Genomic DNA, 17,925 nt, shown 5'->3' with positions numbered 1-17,925 from the left:
TGTAATCCCAGCTACTCGGGAGGCTGAGGCAGGAGAATCACTTGAACCTGGGAGGCGGAGGTTGCAGTGAGCCGAGATCGCACCACTGCACTCCAGCCTGGGCAACAGAACAAGACTCCGTCTCAAAAAAAAAAAAAAAAATTAGCCAGGCATGGTGGCGTGTGCCTGTAATCCCACCTACTTGGGGAGGCTGAAGCAGGAGGATCACTTGAACCTGAGAGCTGGAAGTGGCAGTGAGCTGAAATCGTGCCACTGCACTCCAGCCTGGGCAACAGAGCAAGACTCCCTCTCAAAAAACAAAAAATCAAAAAAACTTGAAGAGCTGTCCTGGAGCAGAGGGAGCTGATGTGACTTGTGTAGCCTCAAAAGTAGATCCATGGGCAGCGACAGGAAGCAGGATGCGGATGCATGCAAAAGGGGACTTTTCACCATCTCAGCCCATCAGCAGCGGGAGAGGCTGCCTTGGAGGAAAGTGAGCCTGCCAGCACCAAGGAAGACTCAGGCAGAGGTCGACCAGGGCTGAGGCCTCTGAACTGGATGACCTTTGAAGTTCGTTCCGATTTCAGGAGAGCGAGACTCCAGGATTTTAGATCCCAGCCCAAAATGTATCTGCCCTCAATGTAACCCAATGCCTGGAATTTCTTCTTTGGGTAAAGACATCGAAGGACTCTGTGAATAATGCTTCTACAGCTGGGAGGGACACATGGAACAAAAGACACTCATTGTCTAGGAAAGGAAAGATACTCAAGGAAGACATCAACACGGAGGAGTCTGAAGGATAAAAGCTAGTTTGAAGGCTGGGCGCAGTGGCTTATGCCCATAATCCCTGCACTTTTGGAGGCCAAGGTGGGAGAATCACTTGAGGCCAGGAGTTTGAGACCAGCTGGGCCACTGGGGCATAAAGGGGAGCGGGGCAGGACTGAGCAGTTGGGACTGGAGTGTGAAGGGCTTCAAAGGCCAGATTCAGATCTGGAACTTTATCCTGCAGGAGTTGGGGCGCCATCAAAGGCATTTTTATTTATTTATTTTTTGCATCAAAGAGCTCTGAGCAAGAGAATTTGACAGTGTGTTCAGATTTATGTGTTTGTAAGCTCCCTGTGACATCTCTACAAAAAAATATTTTTAAAATTAACCAGGCATGATGGCTCACACCTATGATAATCCCAGTAACTTGGAAGGCTTGAGGCAGGAGGATCACTTGAGCCAAGGAGTTCAAGACCAGCCTAGGCTGATATAGCAAGACCCTGTCTCGACAAAAAATTTAAAAATTGGCTGGGCATGATGGTACACGCCTACAATCTCAGCTACTCAGGAGGCTGAGAGGCGAGAGGATTGCTTGATCCCAGGAGTTCAAGACTGCAGTGAGCTGAGATCATGCCACTGCACTCCAGCGTGGGCAACAGGAACAAGACCCTGACTCAAAACAAACAAGTGTGACACCCAGACTGCCAGGAAGAGGGGTATGGCAACAAGGTTCCTTCCCTCATAGAGCTGACACTCCCCTGGAGAAGCAAAAAATAAACAAGCAAACACATTTTTAAGGTAATTAAAGATTGTGGCAAGTGGTAAGCATGAAACAAGAAGTATGGCCTGGAGGGTAATGGGGTACGTGTACTTCGTTCTGGTGGGTGAGGGAGGGCCTCTCTGAAGAGGCGATACTGAAGGTGAGACCAGAGAGTGCCAAGAAGCCGGTGAGGCGGGAAGCCCTTGGAACAGTATTCCAAGCAGAAGGAACAGCAAATACAATAGCCATGAGGCAGAAAACAGCTTGGGATGTTTAAGGTGCCGTCCTAGTGGTCAACAAGGGGAGAGTTTTCCAAGGTGAGGGTGGACAGGCAGATCATTCAGAGCCTTGAAGGACTTGGAAGGGACCCAGGGTTGTATTGCAAGTGCAAAGGGAGCCTGTGAGAGCAGAAATGTGAGTGAGCTGAAGTTTCATAGTGACCACTTGAACGGCTTGGAAGGGGCAGGGGAGGCAGCGGGGCGAGCTGCTGCTGTCACCCGGGTGAGAGCGGATGGGTCTGGCATGGAGGTGGCAAGAGGGGACAGGAAATGGACAGCATGACCTAGAACTCCAAGGCAGGGTAGGGGGTGAAGATGGGCCCAAGCAGCCCCACCAGCTGCAGCTGGGCCACCAGGGGCATAAAGGGGAGTGGGGCAGGACTGGGTAGTGGGCTGGACTGTGAAGGGCTTCAAAGGCCAGATTCAGATCTGGAGCTTTATCCTGCAGGAGTTGGGGCGCCATCAAAGGCATTTTTATTTATTTATTTTTTGCATCAAAGAGCTCTGAGCGACGGAATTTGACAGTGTGGTCAGATTTATGTGTTCCTAAGCTCCCTGTGGCAGCTGGTGTGGAGGATGCACTGAAGGGGTGAGGCCGGTGGCAGGAAGAAGGACTCAGGAGGAGGCTGCCATAATGGTCCCAGTGCAAGGTGGTGAGGCCCAGAAAGGGGCCCACGACCCTGGCACACTGGGGGTGGTTGGGCCCCTGCTTGTCCCAGGTTTGTACCCCTCCTGGGGCCCTGGGCAGCTGCAGAGGGCCCAAGTGGGCCCCAGCTCTGAGGCTTGAAGCAAAAAATAGGACGAGGGCAGCCAAAAGGCATCAGGGCTGTTTATCCAGAGGAGAGATGCCTCAGCATGGATTTATGGCTGAAAGGTTACTGGGGGGAGGGGGTGGGGAACCAGCTGTCCCCCATCTTCACAAAGGACAAAGAAAGGAGGGGACTGCGACCTCAGCCACAGCAAGAGGAGGGAGTTAGACACATAAAAGGAAATCTCCTGACATCATTGGAGGATGAAGGGGCCCTTCAGCCATCATGCCAACCAGCTCTCTCATTGGACAGCTGGGGAAACTGAGCCGCAAAGAGAGAGGCAGGTCCTTGCTTGATGTCATACAGTGAATTCAAGCCATGACCAGGCCTGACAGCACAACCTCTCACTTCGGAAGACCTTGAGGCCTCCCCGAGCACACACAAGGGTACCTCAGACTGGCTGCCCCCAAGAGTGATTAACATGAACAGCTGTTCTGGAGGGATGGACAGAAAGACCTGAGCTGGGCTGAGGTGCTCCAGACCCCAGCACCCACTCTGGTCCAGGTCTCTGACATGCCGCATCCTTGAGTTCAACCTGTGGCTCAGGCCCTGCGTCTGCCCTCCCACCCCCAGCCAGTCTGAGTATTGTCGATATTTGATGGGAGTCCATCGTATCTCTCAAGGGTCTTGTTCTTTCGATGTTGTCCTGTCCCACTCTCTGCCTTCCAAGACTCTGTATTTCTGTCTTGGCCTCTGACTCTTTATCTCTAGAGCCGAGCTGAGCTGAGCTGGGCTGGGCCAACCTCCTACCCCCAGGAGTGGGCCTCACTGCTTAGAGTGCCCCTCTGTAGACAATGCTCAGGCCCAGTGCCCAGGCTGGGACAAGTGACAGCAGCTGTGGATCTATCTATAGCTCCCTTGTCCTTCAATTGTTTCCAACTTCAAACAATGGTTGGGCCCTGGATTAAAGTCACCCCCCACCCACCCTGCTGAAATAGATCCCGGGAGGCAGGGGATGAGTCTCACCAGGGCCACCTGATGATCTCTCGTGTCCACCTCTGTTTGGGCCCCTATGTTCCCATCTGTAACTCTGGGCTCTAAGGCCTTCCAGCTCAGAGGCGGTGTGACTACAGGACTAGTGGACATGGGACCAGGGTGTGTCTGAACAGCAGACCTATACAAGGGCACATGGGTATGAGACAAGTGGGTTTCCCTCCTCCTGCCTTGGCTGGCAGACACTCATGGGCACTGGGATGACAGTTCCATGAGGACAGAGGCCTGGTCTCCCTTACACTGCAGTAGCCCAGCCTCAGCCTGGTACGTGGTAAGTGTTCACCGTACATGGCTTACCTTGGCCCTTAGGAAGAGGGAGGGCATGATGTGAGTCTCAACATGTCTCAAGCTTGGGAGGCAGCACAGAGCAGTGAGGAAGGAGCACCTCATCTAAAGTGAGGCTGCCTGGGTTTTAGTCCTGGCTCTGCCAGTTACCAGGCACGAAGTCTTGGAGAATGACTAAACCTCTTAATGGTGGAGATTCACAAACAGGACCTACCTCCTAGTGCTGTGATGAGCATTATATGAGTTAAACCATCTAAAATGCTTAGAATAGTACCTGACACTAGTGGAGACTCAATATGTCATTGCTGTTATTTCCAAGATAGATCATTAGGTTACAAAAAAAAAAAAGTTGTGGCCGGGTACGGTGGCTCACACCTGTAATCCCAGCACTTTGGGAGGCCGAGGCAGGCAGATCCCCTGAGGTCAGGAGTTTAAGACCAGTCTGGCCAACGTGGTGAAACCCTGTCTCTACTAAAAATACAAAAAACTAGCTGGGCATGGTGGCAGGTGCCTGTAATCCAGCTACTCGGGAGGCTGAGGCAGGAGGACTGCTTGAGCCCAGGAGACGGAGGTTGCAGTGAGCCGGGATCGTGCCACTGCACTCCAGCCTGGGCGACAGAGCTAGACTCCATCTCAAAAAAAAAAAAAAAAAAAAAAGGAGCAGAAGAATGTATGGGCTATGCCATCTCCTGCGTAAAAATCGGGGGAGAGAGACATTTGTGCATCTGTGTGCTTATCTATGGATGGACTGCCTTTGGAAGTCACCCAAGAAAGCTGGTAACAGTGTTTGGTAGCTGGGGGCCAGGGAAGGGAGGCAGAGTGATTTTTTTTCCCTTGTAAACCCTTTGAACTTTAAATCGTGTATGTATAACCTATTTTTAAAGTGTTTGCTAAATGAATAAGGGTCACTTCCAGCATGATCCTTGAAAAATACAAACCCCTACTCTGTGCCAGTGGTGAGGGGCCTGGGTGAGGGCTGGTCCTCAGAGAGTGGGCCCACTGCCTTCAGCCTGAGGTCAAGCAGCCTAGGTCTGAGTCCCAGGGGTACCCTCTTTCCTCCAGTCCAGTGGTGGACAAGATGTGTCTATGCAAAACCATCCCAGAGCAAATGGTGAGCCAGGAGGCAGGCTTCCCAGCTTCCAGGCCAAGCAGCAGGAGGGGGCAGTAGGAACAGGCTCCTGTCCTCTTCCCTGGCCTCAACCTCTGACTCTTCATCCCAAGCTATTCTTAGAGCCTAGATAATGCCAGCAGTTGCTGCTGCTCATATCGGCTTCCAGAACCACTCAACCCCAAGAAGCCCAGTCCCGCCCCCAGCCCCTTGTGTGCTGGCCTCCCTGCCAGGTAAGGGCATTAAGGGTGTCCTGCGGGCTCCATCCTCTACGCTACGTGCGCTGTGCATACTTAGGTAGGCTGCCGCAGTGTAAGGGCCTGGGTAGTGGGCCCCTCTAACACGCCCCTTGCTGCACAGCTGGAAGAGACAGGAAGGGCTAAAGGACACACTGGGGTAGAAGATGTACCCCCAGGGGTCACCATCCAGATAATGTGGCCCAACCGCAGGCTCCAAACTATGCTAAGAATAGACATGAAAGGGGCAGGGGCCATGGACAAGGCTTAGCCGAGTGTAAGGGAGAAGGGGTGTACAGACCACGAGCAGGGAGGGGCCTGGGAGGCCAGCCTGGAGGATGGAAGAAGCCAACAAGAGGAGGTCAGACTTTCCAACTCACTATGTGACCTTGAATAGGTCCCTCTTCCTCACGGAGCTTCAATTTCCATCATAAAACAGGCATAACCTTATTCCACTGGGTTGTGGTGTGGATTCAATGAAATAACACATGCAGAGAGCCTAGCCTGTGCCTGACCCATCATAAGCACTATGTAAATATCTGGTGATATTATCATTAGCTCCTTAAGAGCAGGCAATGTTTCTCCTTCAGCTTTGCATCTGCAGGGACTCGTTCAGGCCTGCCACATGTCAGGACTGCCTTTTCAAATCCTTGCTCTGCCATTTACAAGCTGAGTGACCCTGGGCAAGTTACGTAACTTCTCTGAGCCCTGGGTTCCTTCTCTGCAAAATAAATACACAAAGAAGACCTACCTTGTAATGTGGTTGAGAGAAATAAATGAAACAAAGTGCTCAGCCCATGGGAAGATGTCAATTAATTTGAGGATGCAGCTGTGGCTCTGTGGGTGTTGGGGTACTATGGCGGGAAGCCTTGGGTCTGCCACTCTGTAGGTGGAATTTGAGACAGTGCCCAATGCAGCCAACATTCTGGAAGAGAGGTCTTAGTGGGGCCCACATGTGAAATCCCAGGATCTTGTAAAACCACCCCACAAATCCTGGACCAAAGCTGAGGCCCTGCCTGGGGTCTCAGGATGGGCTTGCCCCAGGCTTGGTCAGTTTCCCATGTAGTTCAGTGCTTCAAACAAACACTCTCCCGTGCCCTCCAGGTTGGAATTGGCATCAGGTTTGTTCTGAAGGTTCAGGAGTCTTAGGCTGCTGGGGGACACACAGGCACAGACGGTTAAGCACAGTTGACACAGGGGCCTCCCCAGGAAGGGTCCTTACCTAACCTGGTGGAGTGGGGAGCAGGAGAATGTCTGTTCTCCATGAAAGACCAAGCAGCAGTGGAGGGCGGGGGGTGCTGTAGCTCTGCTCTACCCTTGTGATCGTGGTCAATCAGCTTGAGGGGTGAGGGGCAGAGGGAGGCCCAAAAGGCTAAGCTGGGAAACCTACCCAGAGGGTCTGAGGGTACCACCGCTCTATATTGAGTGTCCTGAGGGTGACCCTGCTTGCTCCCACAGCTGGGGGCACACTGCCTACCTCCCTGTGACTTTGCTAACTCAAGGACAAGAGACCTCCTTGAGCAGAGCCTTCAGATTTTTTTTCCATGGGCTGAAAATTTTATTAGTACAAATATCTCTATCATTCTATCTAATGCTTTGGGCCTTAAATTTCCTATTTTTTTTTTTAGATGGAGTCTCGTTCTGTTTCCCAGCCTGGAGTACAGTGGCGTGATGTCGGCTCACTACAACCTCCGCCTCCTGGGTTCAAGCGATTCTCCTGCCTCAGCCTCCCCAGTAGCTGGGACTACAGGTGCGCGCCACCATGCCCAGCTAATTTTCATATTTTTAGTAGAGACGGGGTTTCACTATGTTGGCTAGGCTGGTCTCGAACTCCTGACCTCGTGATCCACCCGCCTCGGCCTCCTAAAGTGCTGGGATTACAGGTGTGAGCCACCGTGCTCAGCCTCCCTTTTTTAAAAAAAAAATTTTTAAAGACAAGGTATCACTGTTACCCATGTTCGAGTACAGTGGCATAATCATAGCTCACTGCAGCCTTGAACTCCTGGCTCAAGCAATCCCCCTGCCTCAGCCTCCCAAGTAGCTGGGACTATAGGCGTGCCTCACCATGCCTAGCCAAATTTCATTTCTTAATTAAAATTTCTATTGAGATAATTGTATATTCGCATGCAATTGTAAGCAATAGTACAGTAACTCTGTACTATTGACATTGATATAATGTACCGATCTTATTCAGATTTTCCCAGTTTTACATGTACTAGTTGTGAGCGTGTGTGTGCACGCACATCTGCATGTATTAAGTTCTATACGACTTCATCACCCGTGTCAATTCACAGATCTTCCACTGCCACCAAGACACTGAACAGTTCTAACAATAAAAAGGTGTTGCCCTTATAGAACCACACTAACTTCCCTCCCATCTTTAACCCCTGGCAACCACCAGTCTGTCCTCTGTTTCTAAAACTGTCATTCCAAAATGTTACATAAATGAAATCATATAGGATGTACTCTTTTGAGACTGGCTTTTTTCACTCCACATAAGTCCCTGGAGATTCTTCCAAGGTGTTGCTCATTTCATGTTTGTGTCTTTATTGCTGAGTGGTACTCATGGTATGTATGGATGCGCCACAGTTTGATGAACCGTTCACCTGTGGAAGGATATCTGGACAGCTATCAGTATGTGGTGCCACCTTATCACAGGGCCCTGGTGGCTGAGGCCACCCACCCTCCAACCCATCTGGGAGTCAGTGGGATGCAGCCTCCAAATTCTTGTTCCAGCTTTCTAGGGCCAGAAGCCAAGAATTCTCCCCACCCCCCGACCCTCTTTCCCAGCCTAGGCATCAGGATTCAGTCCCTTCCAAATATGCAAACACCCAGTTCTCAGGGACAGCAAGAAGACAGTCTTATGGGCCTTATTTAAACATGTTGGCTATAGACCTATATGTTGACCCTGGCCTGGAGACCCAGCCTGACCTGGCCCTGCCAACTGACCAGCCCATCTACAGTAGCCCCACCCTCTCATTCATATCACTCCAGATACAGTGGCCTTCTGAGAGTTTACAACTAAACCAGCTCCTTTCTGTCTCAGGGACTCTGCATCTGCCATTTACTCTTTCCCCAAACTGGGGCATGGCTGCTTCCTTCTTCTCGAGCCTCCACTCAAATGTCACCTCCTCAAAGGGGCTTCCTTTGACTACATTAACTAAACTAGGTCCTTTCTATAAAGGTTCTCTCTTCACCCTCTGTATCACATGTCCCCATTTCTGAGTGTATTACACTTATGGGTAAGTCTGCTTATTATCATCTGTCTACCCCACAAGACAGGTCTTTCTTGAGACCCAGGAGCAGACAGATCCCATTCTGGGTCCCCAGCAGCCAGCATGCCCAGAAGAGGCACCCATGTGCTTGCTGATGGGCCATGTCCCCTGGCGTGAGGCTTCTGCTTTTGAGAACCATCTTTCCCAGCGGCCTCTCGCTCTGCTCCCTGCTGCGCCCTCAGGCCAGGCCCAGTGAATATTCTGACTCCTGTTTCTCACCCAAGCCTGGGCAAGCCTCTCTTTTCTTTGCTCTAGTGGATTCGGCTGAGCCAGGTTAACCACACAGCATGATGCCTAAGAGTTCTGGAGTCCAACTGCCTATGTGCAAACCCTCAGAGTTGCTCTGTCTCTTTGATCTTCTGATTCCTCATCTATAAAACAGGAATGAGCCAGGTGCGGTGGCTCATGCCTGTAATCCCAGTACTTTGGGAGGCCAAGGCAAGAGGGTCACTTGAGGCCAGGAGTTTGAGACTAGCCTAGACAACACAGTGAGACTCATCCCTATTTTAAAAATAAAATAAAATGGGAATACTAATAGTACCTGTCCCATAGGAATTGAATGAGATAATACCTATTTTTAAAAAGAAAAGGCGTAAGTGCCTGGCACATAAGAGTTCAACATATAATCATTACTATTCATTTTCTTATTATCATTAAGACCATCTCCAAACTCAGTAGATTAAACAAGGAAAGTTCATGTCACACCAATATAAAGATCATGAAAAAGTCCCAGAAAAAGGGTCATTCCTAAGGGTCACTTAGGCCACTGTGACCTCTCATCCTTAGGCAATTCCCTTGTTTTTTAATTTTACAAAAATTTTTTGTAGAGGTGGGATCTCACTATGTTGCCCAGGCTGGTCTCTATCTCCTGGTCTCAAGTGATCCTCCTGTCTTGGCCTCCCAAAGTACTGGGATTACAGGCGTGAGCCACCGCGCCCAGTCCCAGGAATTCTCTTTTGGCTTCACTCTTTCTCCACTCCCTCCCTTCTTGGAAAATTCAAGGAGATGGAAGAGCAGGACGATAGCCTCTCCCTGGGTAGAGAGAAGCTCCCATCACTAGTTTCAAGGTGACAACCGTCCTCTCCCACATCTAGAGTTGTCAGCCTGCCCCCAACATTCTCTAGCTCCACGGTGTCCCTACAGAGAGCCACATAGTCTAGGCCCAGAGCCCTGCCATCCTCCAACAACAGGCAGAGTAAAGGGTTATTCTGGGCCCCTTCTGCTTTCATGCATTCATCCATCCAACCATGTAAACACTTACTGAAAAACAAATCTTGCTATTAATCTGGAAAATCACAACGAGACACCGTTTCACATCACTAGACTGACAAAAGCTAGAAACCTTGACCATTCTGTCTCGGTGAGGATGCAGAATGAGGGCAATTCTAATACACTGCTGGCAGGAGTGCACATTTGCAAAACCATTTGGGAAAGAAACTTTGTATTACCTTGTAAGTCTGAATATGCTCACGACCTTCAACACACTGCACAGGAGGCATCTATTAGTCTTTTTACCATATATAGTAATAAAATACTAGAGAACCCAAGTGACCATTCACAGGAGAATAAACAAAACTCTCATACAATTGCTGCCACTTTGGTATTTTTATGCAATGAAACCTATAGAGCAGTGAAAATGAATGAACTATTTCCCCTTAAAACATGGATAAATCTCCTGATATAACACTGAAAGAGAAAAGCAAGCTGCACAAGAATCATATAATTTACCACTTAAAAGTGCAAATACCATGAAAAAGTGTCATATATTGCTTAGAAATACACCTAATAGGAGGGTAAAAATGCATAAGACCTACCTCACATCCTATATAAAAATTAACTCAAAATGAATCAAAGACTTAAATTTAAGAGCCAAAACTATAAAACTCTTAGAAAAAGTAAGTGTAAATCTTTGTGACCTTCGAATTAGGCAATGGTTTCGTAGATATGACATTCAAAGCACAAGCAAAGGAAAAAATAAATAAATTGGACTTCGTCAAAATTTTAAAATATGTGCTTCAAAAGATACTATCGAAAAACAGAAAAGACCATCCACAGAATGGGACAAATTATTGGCAAATCACATATAAGGAAGGATCTACTATCCTGAATATATAAAGAATTCCTACAACCCAATAATAAAAGGACAAATAACTTACAAATAAGGAAAACATTTAAATAGACCCTTCTCCAAAGAAGATATACAAACTACCAATAAGCACATGAAAAGATATGCGCATTATTTGTCATTAGGAAAATGCAAATCAAAACCACAATGACCAACCAGGATGGCCACAATCAGACAAGTACAGTGGGACCTCCATATCCATGGGTTCCACATCTGTGTATTCAACCAACTGCAGCTTGAAAATATTTGAAAACAATGTTTCAACTGTACTGAGCATGTACAGACTTTTTTCCTTGTCATTATTCCCTAAACAATACAGTATAACAATTTATATAGCATTTATGACTTCTTTTTTTGAGACGGAGTCTCGCTCTGTCACCCAGGCTGGAGTGCAGTGTCGCGATCTCAGCTCACTGTAACCTCTGCCTCTGGGGTTCAAGCGATTCTCTGCCTCAGCCTCCCTGAATAGCTGGGACTACAGGTGTGCGCCACCACGCCCAGCTAATTTTTGTATTTTTAGTAGAGATGGGTTTTCGCCATGTTGGCCAGGCTGGTCTCGAACTCCTGACCTCAGGTGATCTGCCAGCCTTGGTCTCCTGAGGTTCTGGGATGACAGGCGTGAGCCACTGCACCCGGCCGAGATGACTTAAAGTACATGGAAAGGACAGTGTGGTGGCTCTCGCTTGTAGTCTCAGCTACTTGGGAAGCTGAGACAGGAGGATCCCTTGAACCGAGGAGTTCAAGGCTGCAGTGAGCTATGATCGCACCACTGCTCTCCAGCCTGACAGAGTGAGACCTTGTCTCAAAATAAATAAAAATAAATTTAAATTTAAAATAAAATAAAACAAAATTAAAGAGCATATGAGAGGATGCATATAGTTTATATGAAACACTACACCATTTTATATAAGGGACTTAAGCATATATGAAACACTGCATCATTTTATATAAGGGACTTAAGTATCCTTGGATGTTGGTATCCATGGGAGGTCCTGGAACCAATTCCCCACAGATACAGAGGGATAACTGTATTGGTGAGGATGTAAAAATTGGAGCTCTGATACAATTGCTGCCACTTTGGAAAACAGCAGTTCCTCAAAAAGTTAAACATATACTTACCATATTACCCGGCAATTCCACTCCTAGGTATCTACCCACGAGAACAGAAAACATTCACACAAAAACCTGTACATGAATGTTCATAGCAGCATTATTATAATTATTTTTGAGACAGGGTCTCGCTCTGTCACCCATGCTGGAGTGCAGTGGCGTGACCATAGGTCCCTGCAGCCTTGACCTACTGGGCTCAAGTGATCCTCCCACTTCAGCCTCCCTAGTAGTGGGGATGACAGGCGCATGCCACCACGCCCGGCTAATTTTTAAATTTTTTTGTAGAGAGCCTTATGTTGCCCAGGCTGGCCTTGAATTCCTCAGCTCAAGTGATCCTCCCACCTCAACCTCGCAAAGTGTTGGGATTACAGGCATGAGCCACCACTCCTGGCCATAGCAGCATTATTCTTAATGGCAAAAAGTGGAAACAACCCAGATGCCTATCAACTGATGAGTGGAGGAACAGAGTGTGATATATCTGTACAATGAAAGACTATTCAGCCATATGAAGGAATAAAGTTCTGATCCATGCTACAACATGGATGAACCTTGCAAACATTATGCTAAGTGAAAGATGCTAGTTACAAAAGGCCACAGATTGTAGGATTCCACCTACAGGAAATATTCAGAAAAGGCAAATCCATAGACAAAGAAAGTAAATTACTGGTTGCCAGGGGCTGGGGAGAAGGAGAATTGTGGAGTATCTACTAATAGGGATGAGGTTTCTTTCTGTGGTGATGAAAATATTCTGGAATGAGACAGTGGTAATGGTTGTACAATCTTGTAAATATACCAAGAACCACTGAATTGCACACTTTAAAGGGGGAGTTTTATGGTGCATGAATTATATCTCAATAAACATTGCATAGGAATAATAAACACCAAATCAGGAGAGTCTTTACTTCTTGGGTTGGGGGGTCAGTCATGGAGGGAAACAAAAAGGTCTTTATATTAGCAGTGTTTTATTTTGCAAGCTGGATGGTAGGTACACAGGTATTTGTTCTGTTAATTTTTATACCTTTCTCAGTGGTTTCATAATAAATAAAATGTAAAAGTATTTACTGGGCATCAACCTGGATTAGGCACTGGGCTACATGGGTGGTACAATGTTGAGTCAAAACAGATCCATCCTGCCAAAAAGTAAGTGGATACATAAGTATATAACAAGTGGAGAAGAGGGTCTATAAGTAAGTTATCTCCCCTTTCTAACCTTCTGTGTCCTCACGGATGAAATGAGAGCCGGACTGGGAACCTGTTAGTAGAAGGTCTCTGAGGATCCCTGGAGCCTTGAAGTGTGTCTTCCCTTTTTCAGCCCACACACCTCAAACACGACCAGGGCACAGACCCTAGAGTTGGCCCTCGTGCCATCAACCACCACAAGAGGGCCTAAGGCAAAGCCCAACTTCAATTAGTCTGTTTCTTCTCGGTAAAATAGGCAGAGTAACTTCTCCCTCCCAGGATGACTGTGGGGGTGTAAATGAGATAACACATATAAAGTGTCAGGGACAGGCCTAGCATACAGTAAATCCTCAACACCTGGGACAGTCCTCACTTTGATTCCACAGGCATTTCCTGAGCAGCAATGCTGGCCCAGGCCTGTGCTAGGGGCTGGAAGACAGAGGAATTCCACTCTGAATGGCCAAAGCAGTGGCCCCCAGCCAGGTGGGGAGATGGCCTCATAAACAACAGTATGAGGCAGGGTGATATCACTGCTAAAAAGAGACAGTAGCCATGTGCACAGATGCAGACCATGTGTGATGCAGACCCTGGGGCTGACAGAGATGTTCCAATCAAAAGGCACAGTCCAGTGGCTGGGTGCGGTGGCTCCCGCCTGTAATCCCAGCACTTTGGGAGGCTGAGGCGGGTGGATCACAAGGTCAGGAGATCGAGACCATCCTGGCTAACACGGTGAAACCCCATCTCTACTAAAAATAGAAAAAATTAGGCGGGCGTGGTGGCAGGCGCCTGTAGTCCCAGCTACTCGGGAGGCTGAGGTAGGAGAATGGCATGAACACGGGAGGCGGAGCTTGCAGTGAGCCAAGATGGCGCCACTGCACTCTAGCCTGGGCTACAAAGCAAGACTCCATCTCAAAAAAACAAAAACAAAAAAAACCCACAGTCCAGACTTGGAGAGAGGCCCTCGCAGGGAGAAAGGCAAGACACAAAATTAAGGGATTGGCCTCCATTCACAGTGAAGTACATCCCTGCATACCTTTTTTCACCTAATTCAGACCCAAATGTTCCCACAAACCCCAAGAACAGAGGATGAAATTGATTCAACAGTTAGCTTTGGGAAGTCTGAGCCCATGGCATGTCCCAAGGTACATATGTGGGAACACCATGGCTGACACTGCTGCTGTGATCTTTGGCAAGTCAGGATACCTCTTCAAGCCTTCCTTTCCCCGGCTGTAAAATGGAGGCTATAAAGATACTGATGTGATAGGGAGGTAAGGGAAAGTGAGATAACGACTGTAAAGTCATTAGCCAAGTACCTGACACTTAGCGACCAGATCAATAAAGGGTAGTTATTGTTAGGAAAAAACAGATTTCACTTTGAAAGTGAGGAAAGCCAGGCGCGGTGGCTCACACCTGTAATCCCAGCACTTTGGGAGGCTGAGGCAGGCAGATCACGAGGTCAGGAGTTCGAGACCAGCCTGGACAGCAAGGTGAAACCCTGTCTCCACTAAAAATACAAAAAATTAGCTGGGCATGGTGGCATGTGCCTGTAATCCCAGCTACTCGGGAGACTGAGGCAGGAGAATTGCCTGAACCCGGGAGGCAGAGGTTGCAGTGAGCCAAGATCGTGCCACTGCACTCCAGCCTGGGTGACAGAGAGAGACTCCATCTCAAAAAAAAAAAAAAGAAAGAAAGAAAAAAAATAAAATGAGGAAAGTGGGATTCGGAGAGGTGAGATGACTTCTGCACAGTCAGGATTCAAACTCAGGTCTGAGACACCAGAGGCTCAGGGCAAATCATCTCCCTCTGCTCCGGAATCTTCAGCAGGTTCCCTACAGTCCACTACATGGACTCCATCCTTGCCAGGGAGTGAGGATCCAGCAAAGGCCTGGGGCCAAAAAGACCCTGGGCAAGTTCCCCAATCCTATGTGTCTTGATCTGAGATCCCCAAGTGAGCCTGAGAAGGTCTGTGAATTCCTCCACGTAGCTGATGCAAAATTTTATACTAATGGATCTCAGACGAGTCTATAGCCTCAAAAGTAACAAACCACAGACTTGACCTGACTTAGCATGGTTTCTTATTCACCCAATGGAGATACGATTTCTACCTTGAAAGGCTGTGAAGGGATTAAATGAGGTAATTTGTGAGAAGTACTTGAAACATCCTCAGCTTTCATTAAATGTTGGTTTCCTTCTCTTTCTCTCTCCCCAAACTATTTCCATCAGTTAGCAAATATTATTGAGCATCTGCCACGTGGCAGGCACCAGTCAGGTCCTGGGGGTAAAGTGGTGAACAAGACAGACATGGCCCATTTTCATGGGGCTCACATTCTAGCAGAGGGAAACAGCAAACAAATAAAAGCAACAATTTCAGATATGAATAACTGCTATGAAGAAAATACAAGGCCGGGCACGGTGGCTCACGCCTGTAATCCCAGCACTTTGAGAGGCAGAGGCGGACGGATCACAAGGTCAGGAGTTTGAGACCAGCCTGATCAACATGGTGAAACCCTGTCTCTCCTAAAAATACAAAAATTAGCCGGGCATGGTGGCACGTGCCTGTAATCCCAGCTACTCAGGAGACTGAGGCAGGAGAATTGTTTGAACCCAGGAGACAGAGGTTGCAGTGAGCCAAGATCGCACCACTGCACTCCAGCCTGGGCAACAGAGTGAGACTCCATCTCAAAAAAAAGAAAAGGATAACGTGATAGACTTATAGGGTGGGGCAGCCTCCAGGGATGAAACATCTGAATGACCAAAGGAGCCAGTCATGCCAGGATTTTGGAGGAAAGCACCCAGGCAGAGAGTGCAGAAAGGGCAAACGCTCCCTGGAAAGATTCTTAGTCAAGAGTCCTTCACTCCCAGTCCTACCACAAACTGGGTCACCTTGAACAAGTCACGTAACTTCTGAGGCTCAGCTGCCACATCTACAAAATGGGAATAAAGACATCTTACCTGCCACATTGTGAGAGGTTTCAACCAAAGGGCTGTTAAGGTCTGGGATCCTCCCCAAATCTCACCATAGACACCTGATACTCATCACTTGGCACCCGTCTTGGAAGAGGGGAACCTGCACAGAGAACCCTGGGTCATGCTTTTGATTTTTAATTTCATGCTGCACTAGAAATAGCTTCTTTTGTTCCTGGTTGACCCAGGAGCCTCTTCCTGCCACCTGGGGCCTATTCTAGTTAACAGCTGCTTATCCCCTCAGGTACAAAAGCCAACGAGGAAAGGACATCAGGAAACATTGTTCTGGGAATAACCAGACACCTATCTGCCACCATCTCCCCCCATCCCGTGACCACACACGGGAGACTGGAGGACTCAGCCTGTCCTGTAGTCAGATAATGTACATGGTTTATTTAAAGAGTCAAAAGGGGCCGGGCGCAGTGGCTAACGCCTGTAATCCTAGCACTCTGGGAGGCTGGGGCGGGTGGATCACCTGAGCTCAAGAGTTTCAGACCAATCTGGCCAACATGGTGAAACCCTGTCTCTACCAAAAATACAAAAATTAGCCGGGTGTGGTGGTGGACGCCTGTAATCCCAGCTACTTGGGAGGCTGAGGCAGGAGAATTGCTTGAACCTGGGAAGTGGAGGTTGCAGTGAGCTGAGATCGTGCCACTGCACTCCAGCCTGGGCAACAACAACGAAAACTCCGTCTCAAAAAAAAAAAAAAAAAAAAAGAGTCAAAAGGATCTTGGTCCCTGGGTTGGGCCACTGATTTACGATCACTAGGAGTTCTCACTCCTAAATTTCTTTGATCTGTTCGCTTCGCTCCATCTCCACAGCTGCTGCACTGGCTACAGCCTCATGATCTCACATCTTAACTCTCTCTGCTTTCTCTGGCCCATCTCCCCACTTCCAAACCATTTGTCACGCTGTAACCAGTGCCTAACACACAAAACTAACCATGTCCTTCCCCTGCTTAAAGCCCTTAGCTCCTGTTGCTCAGTGGAACTGGCGTCTGAGGCTACCTCTCCAAGCCTAAGCGCCTAAGTCCTGTTGCAACCCTCAGGCCCTTCCTCATTATCCACACCAAACTCCTCAGTGTCTGTAAAACAAGCCGAGCAACCCTCAGAATTATATGCCTTCGCTGCTCGTTTGTTTTGTTTTTAGGACAGGGTCTCACGCTGTCACCCAGGCAGGAGTGCTGCAGCGTGATCTCAGCTCACAGCAGCCTCCGTCTCCGGGGCTCAAGAATTCTCACGCCGCAGCCTCCCGAGTAGCTGGGATTACAGGCACGGGCCAACACACCCGGCTAATTCTTGTATTTCTAGTAGAGACGGGGTTTCGCCATGTTGCCCAGCCTGGTCTCCAACTCCTGAGCTCAAGTAATCCACCTGCCTCGGCCTCTCAAAGTGCTGGGATTACAGGTCTGAGCCACTGCACCCAGCCAGCCTTTGCTGCTTTTGTTCCTGCAATTTGGAACACTGTCCCCATCCCAGCCTCTCACCTCTACCCCTACCTCCTTCACTACCTATACCTTCCTATCCATCCTTCAAGACCCCAAAAACCATCCCTGATTCCTTCAGAAAGGCAGTTTATTGCCTATCTTATCAGACTGAAAGCAGTGGCTGTGTCTTATTTATGGTTAATTCCCTAGAAGCTGGACTGATACATTCCATTTAACTAAAATTCGTATCAGGTGCTTCGGACTGCAGACAAGCCTATCACAACCCAGAAGGAAGAAACAGGGAAGGCACCTGGGGGCTGCCAAGCAATGAGGTGGGGGGTAGGAATCATGAATCCGCATATTTTTAAAAACTGCCCCAGATCCTGATGTAAACGGTACAAGAGAGTCTGAGAAACACAGGGCTCCCCTCAAACAGTCCTGACTTCAGCATTCCTGGAAAAATGAAAATCCTTTCCTTTTGCCTCTAATGCTTTCCCTGCTGGTATCCCAGGTTAAAAAAAAATAGATAAAATCAGGGGGATTTTTCTGGGACTTGGCTGGGCTGGGAAACAAGCCTGGGTTCTAATACAGGCTCAGCCCCTGACGTACTATGGGCCCCTGCCCCTCCTTGGG

The 17,925-nt window shown here is 48.4% G+C and overlaps 1 protein-coding gene across 1 annotated transcript in view, besides 1 other annotated feature; it reads right to left on the bottom strand.

The window, feature by feature from the left end:
• MYH7B (myosin heavy chain 7B) overlaps positions 1 to 17,925 on the bottom strand; it is a 46,570-nt gene that overhangs the window by 28,371 nt on the left and 274 nt on the right. Inside the window, exon 2 of the mRNA NM_020884.7 lies at positions 15,855 to 15,969. The gene's annotated coding sequence lies outside the window, so the exon portion shown is untranslated. The remainder of the gene's footprint in view (positions 1 to 15,854; positions 15,970 to 17,925) is intronic.
• Positions 6,812 to 6,969: a silencer, noted in NCBI's record as "fragment chr20:33554901-33555058 (GRCh37/hg19 assembly coordinates)". NCBI's record gives its function as "represses an EF-1alpha promoter that drives an FKBP-Casp9 reporter gene in an ReSE screen in K562 erythroleukemia cells {active_cell/tissue: K562}" and the evidence as "EXISTENCE:reporter gene assay evidence [ECO:0000049][PMID:32094911]".

This window comes from Homo sapiens, chromosome 20 (genome assembly GCF_000001405.40).
Source record: "Homo sapiens chromosome 20, GRCh38.p14 Primary Assembly".
NCBI lineage: Eukaryota > Metazoa > Chordata > Mammalia > Primates > Hominidae > Homo > Homo sapiens.
The sequence above is the reverse complement of the archived record's forward strand: the minus strand, read 5'-3'. Positions and strand labels throughout refer to the sequence as shown.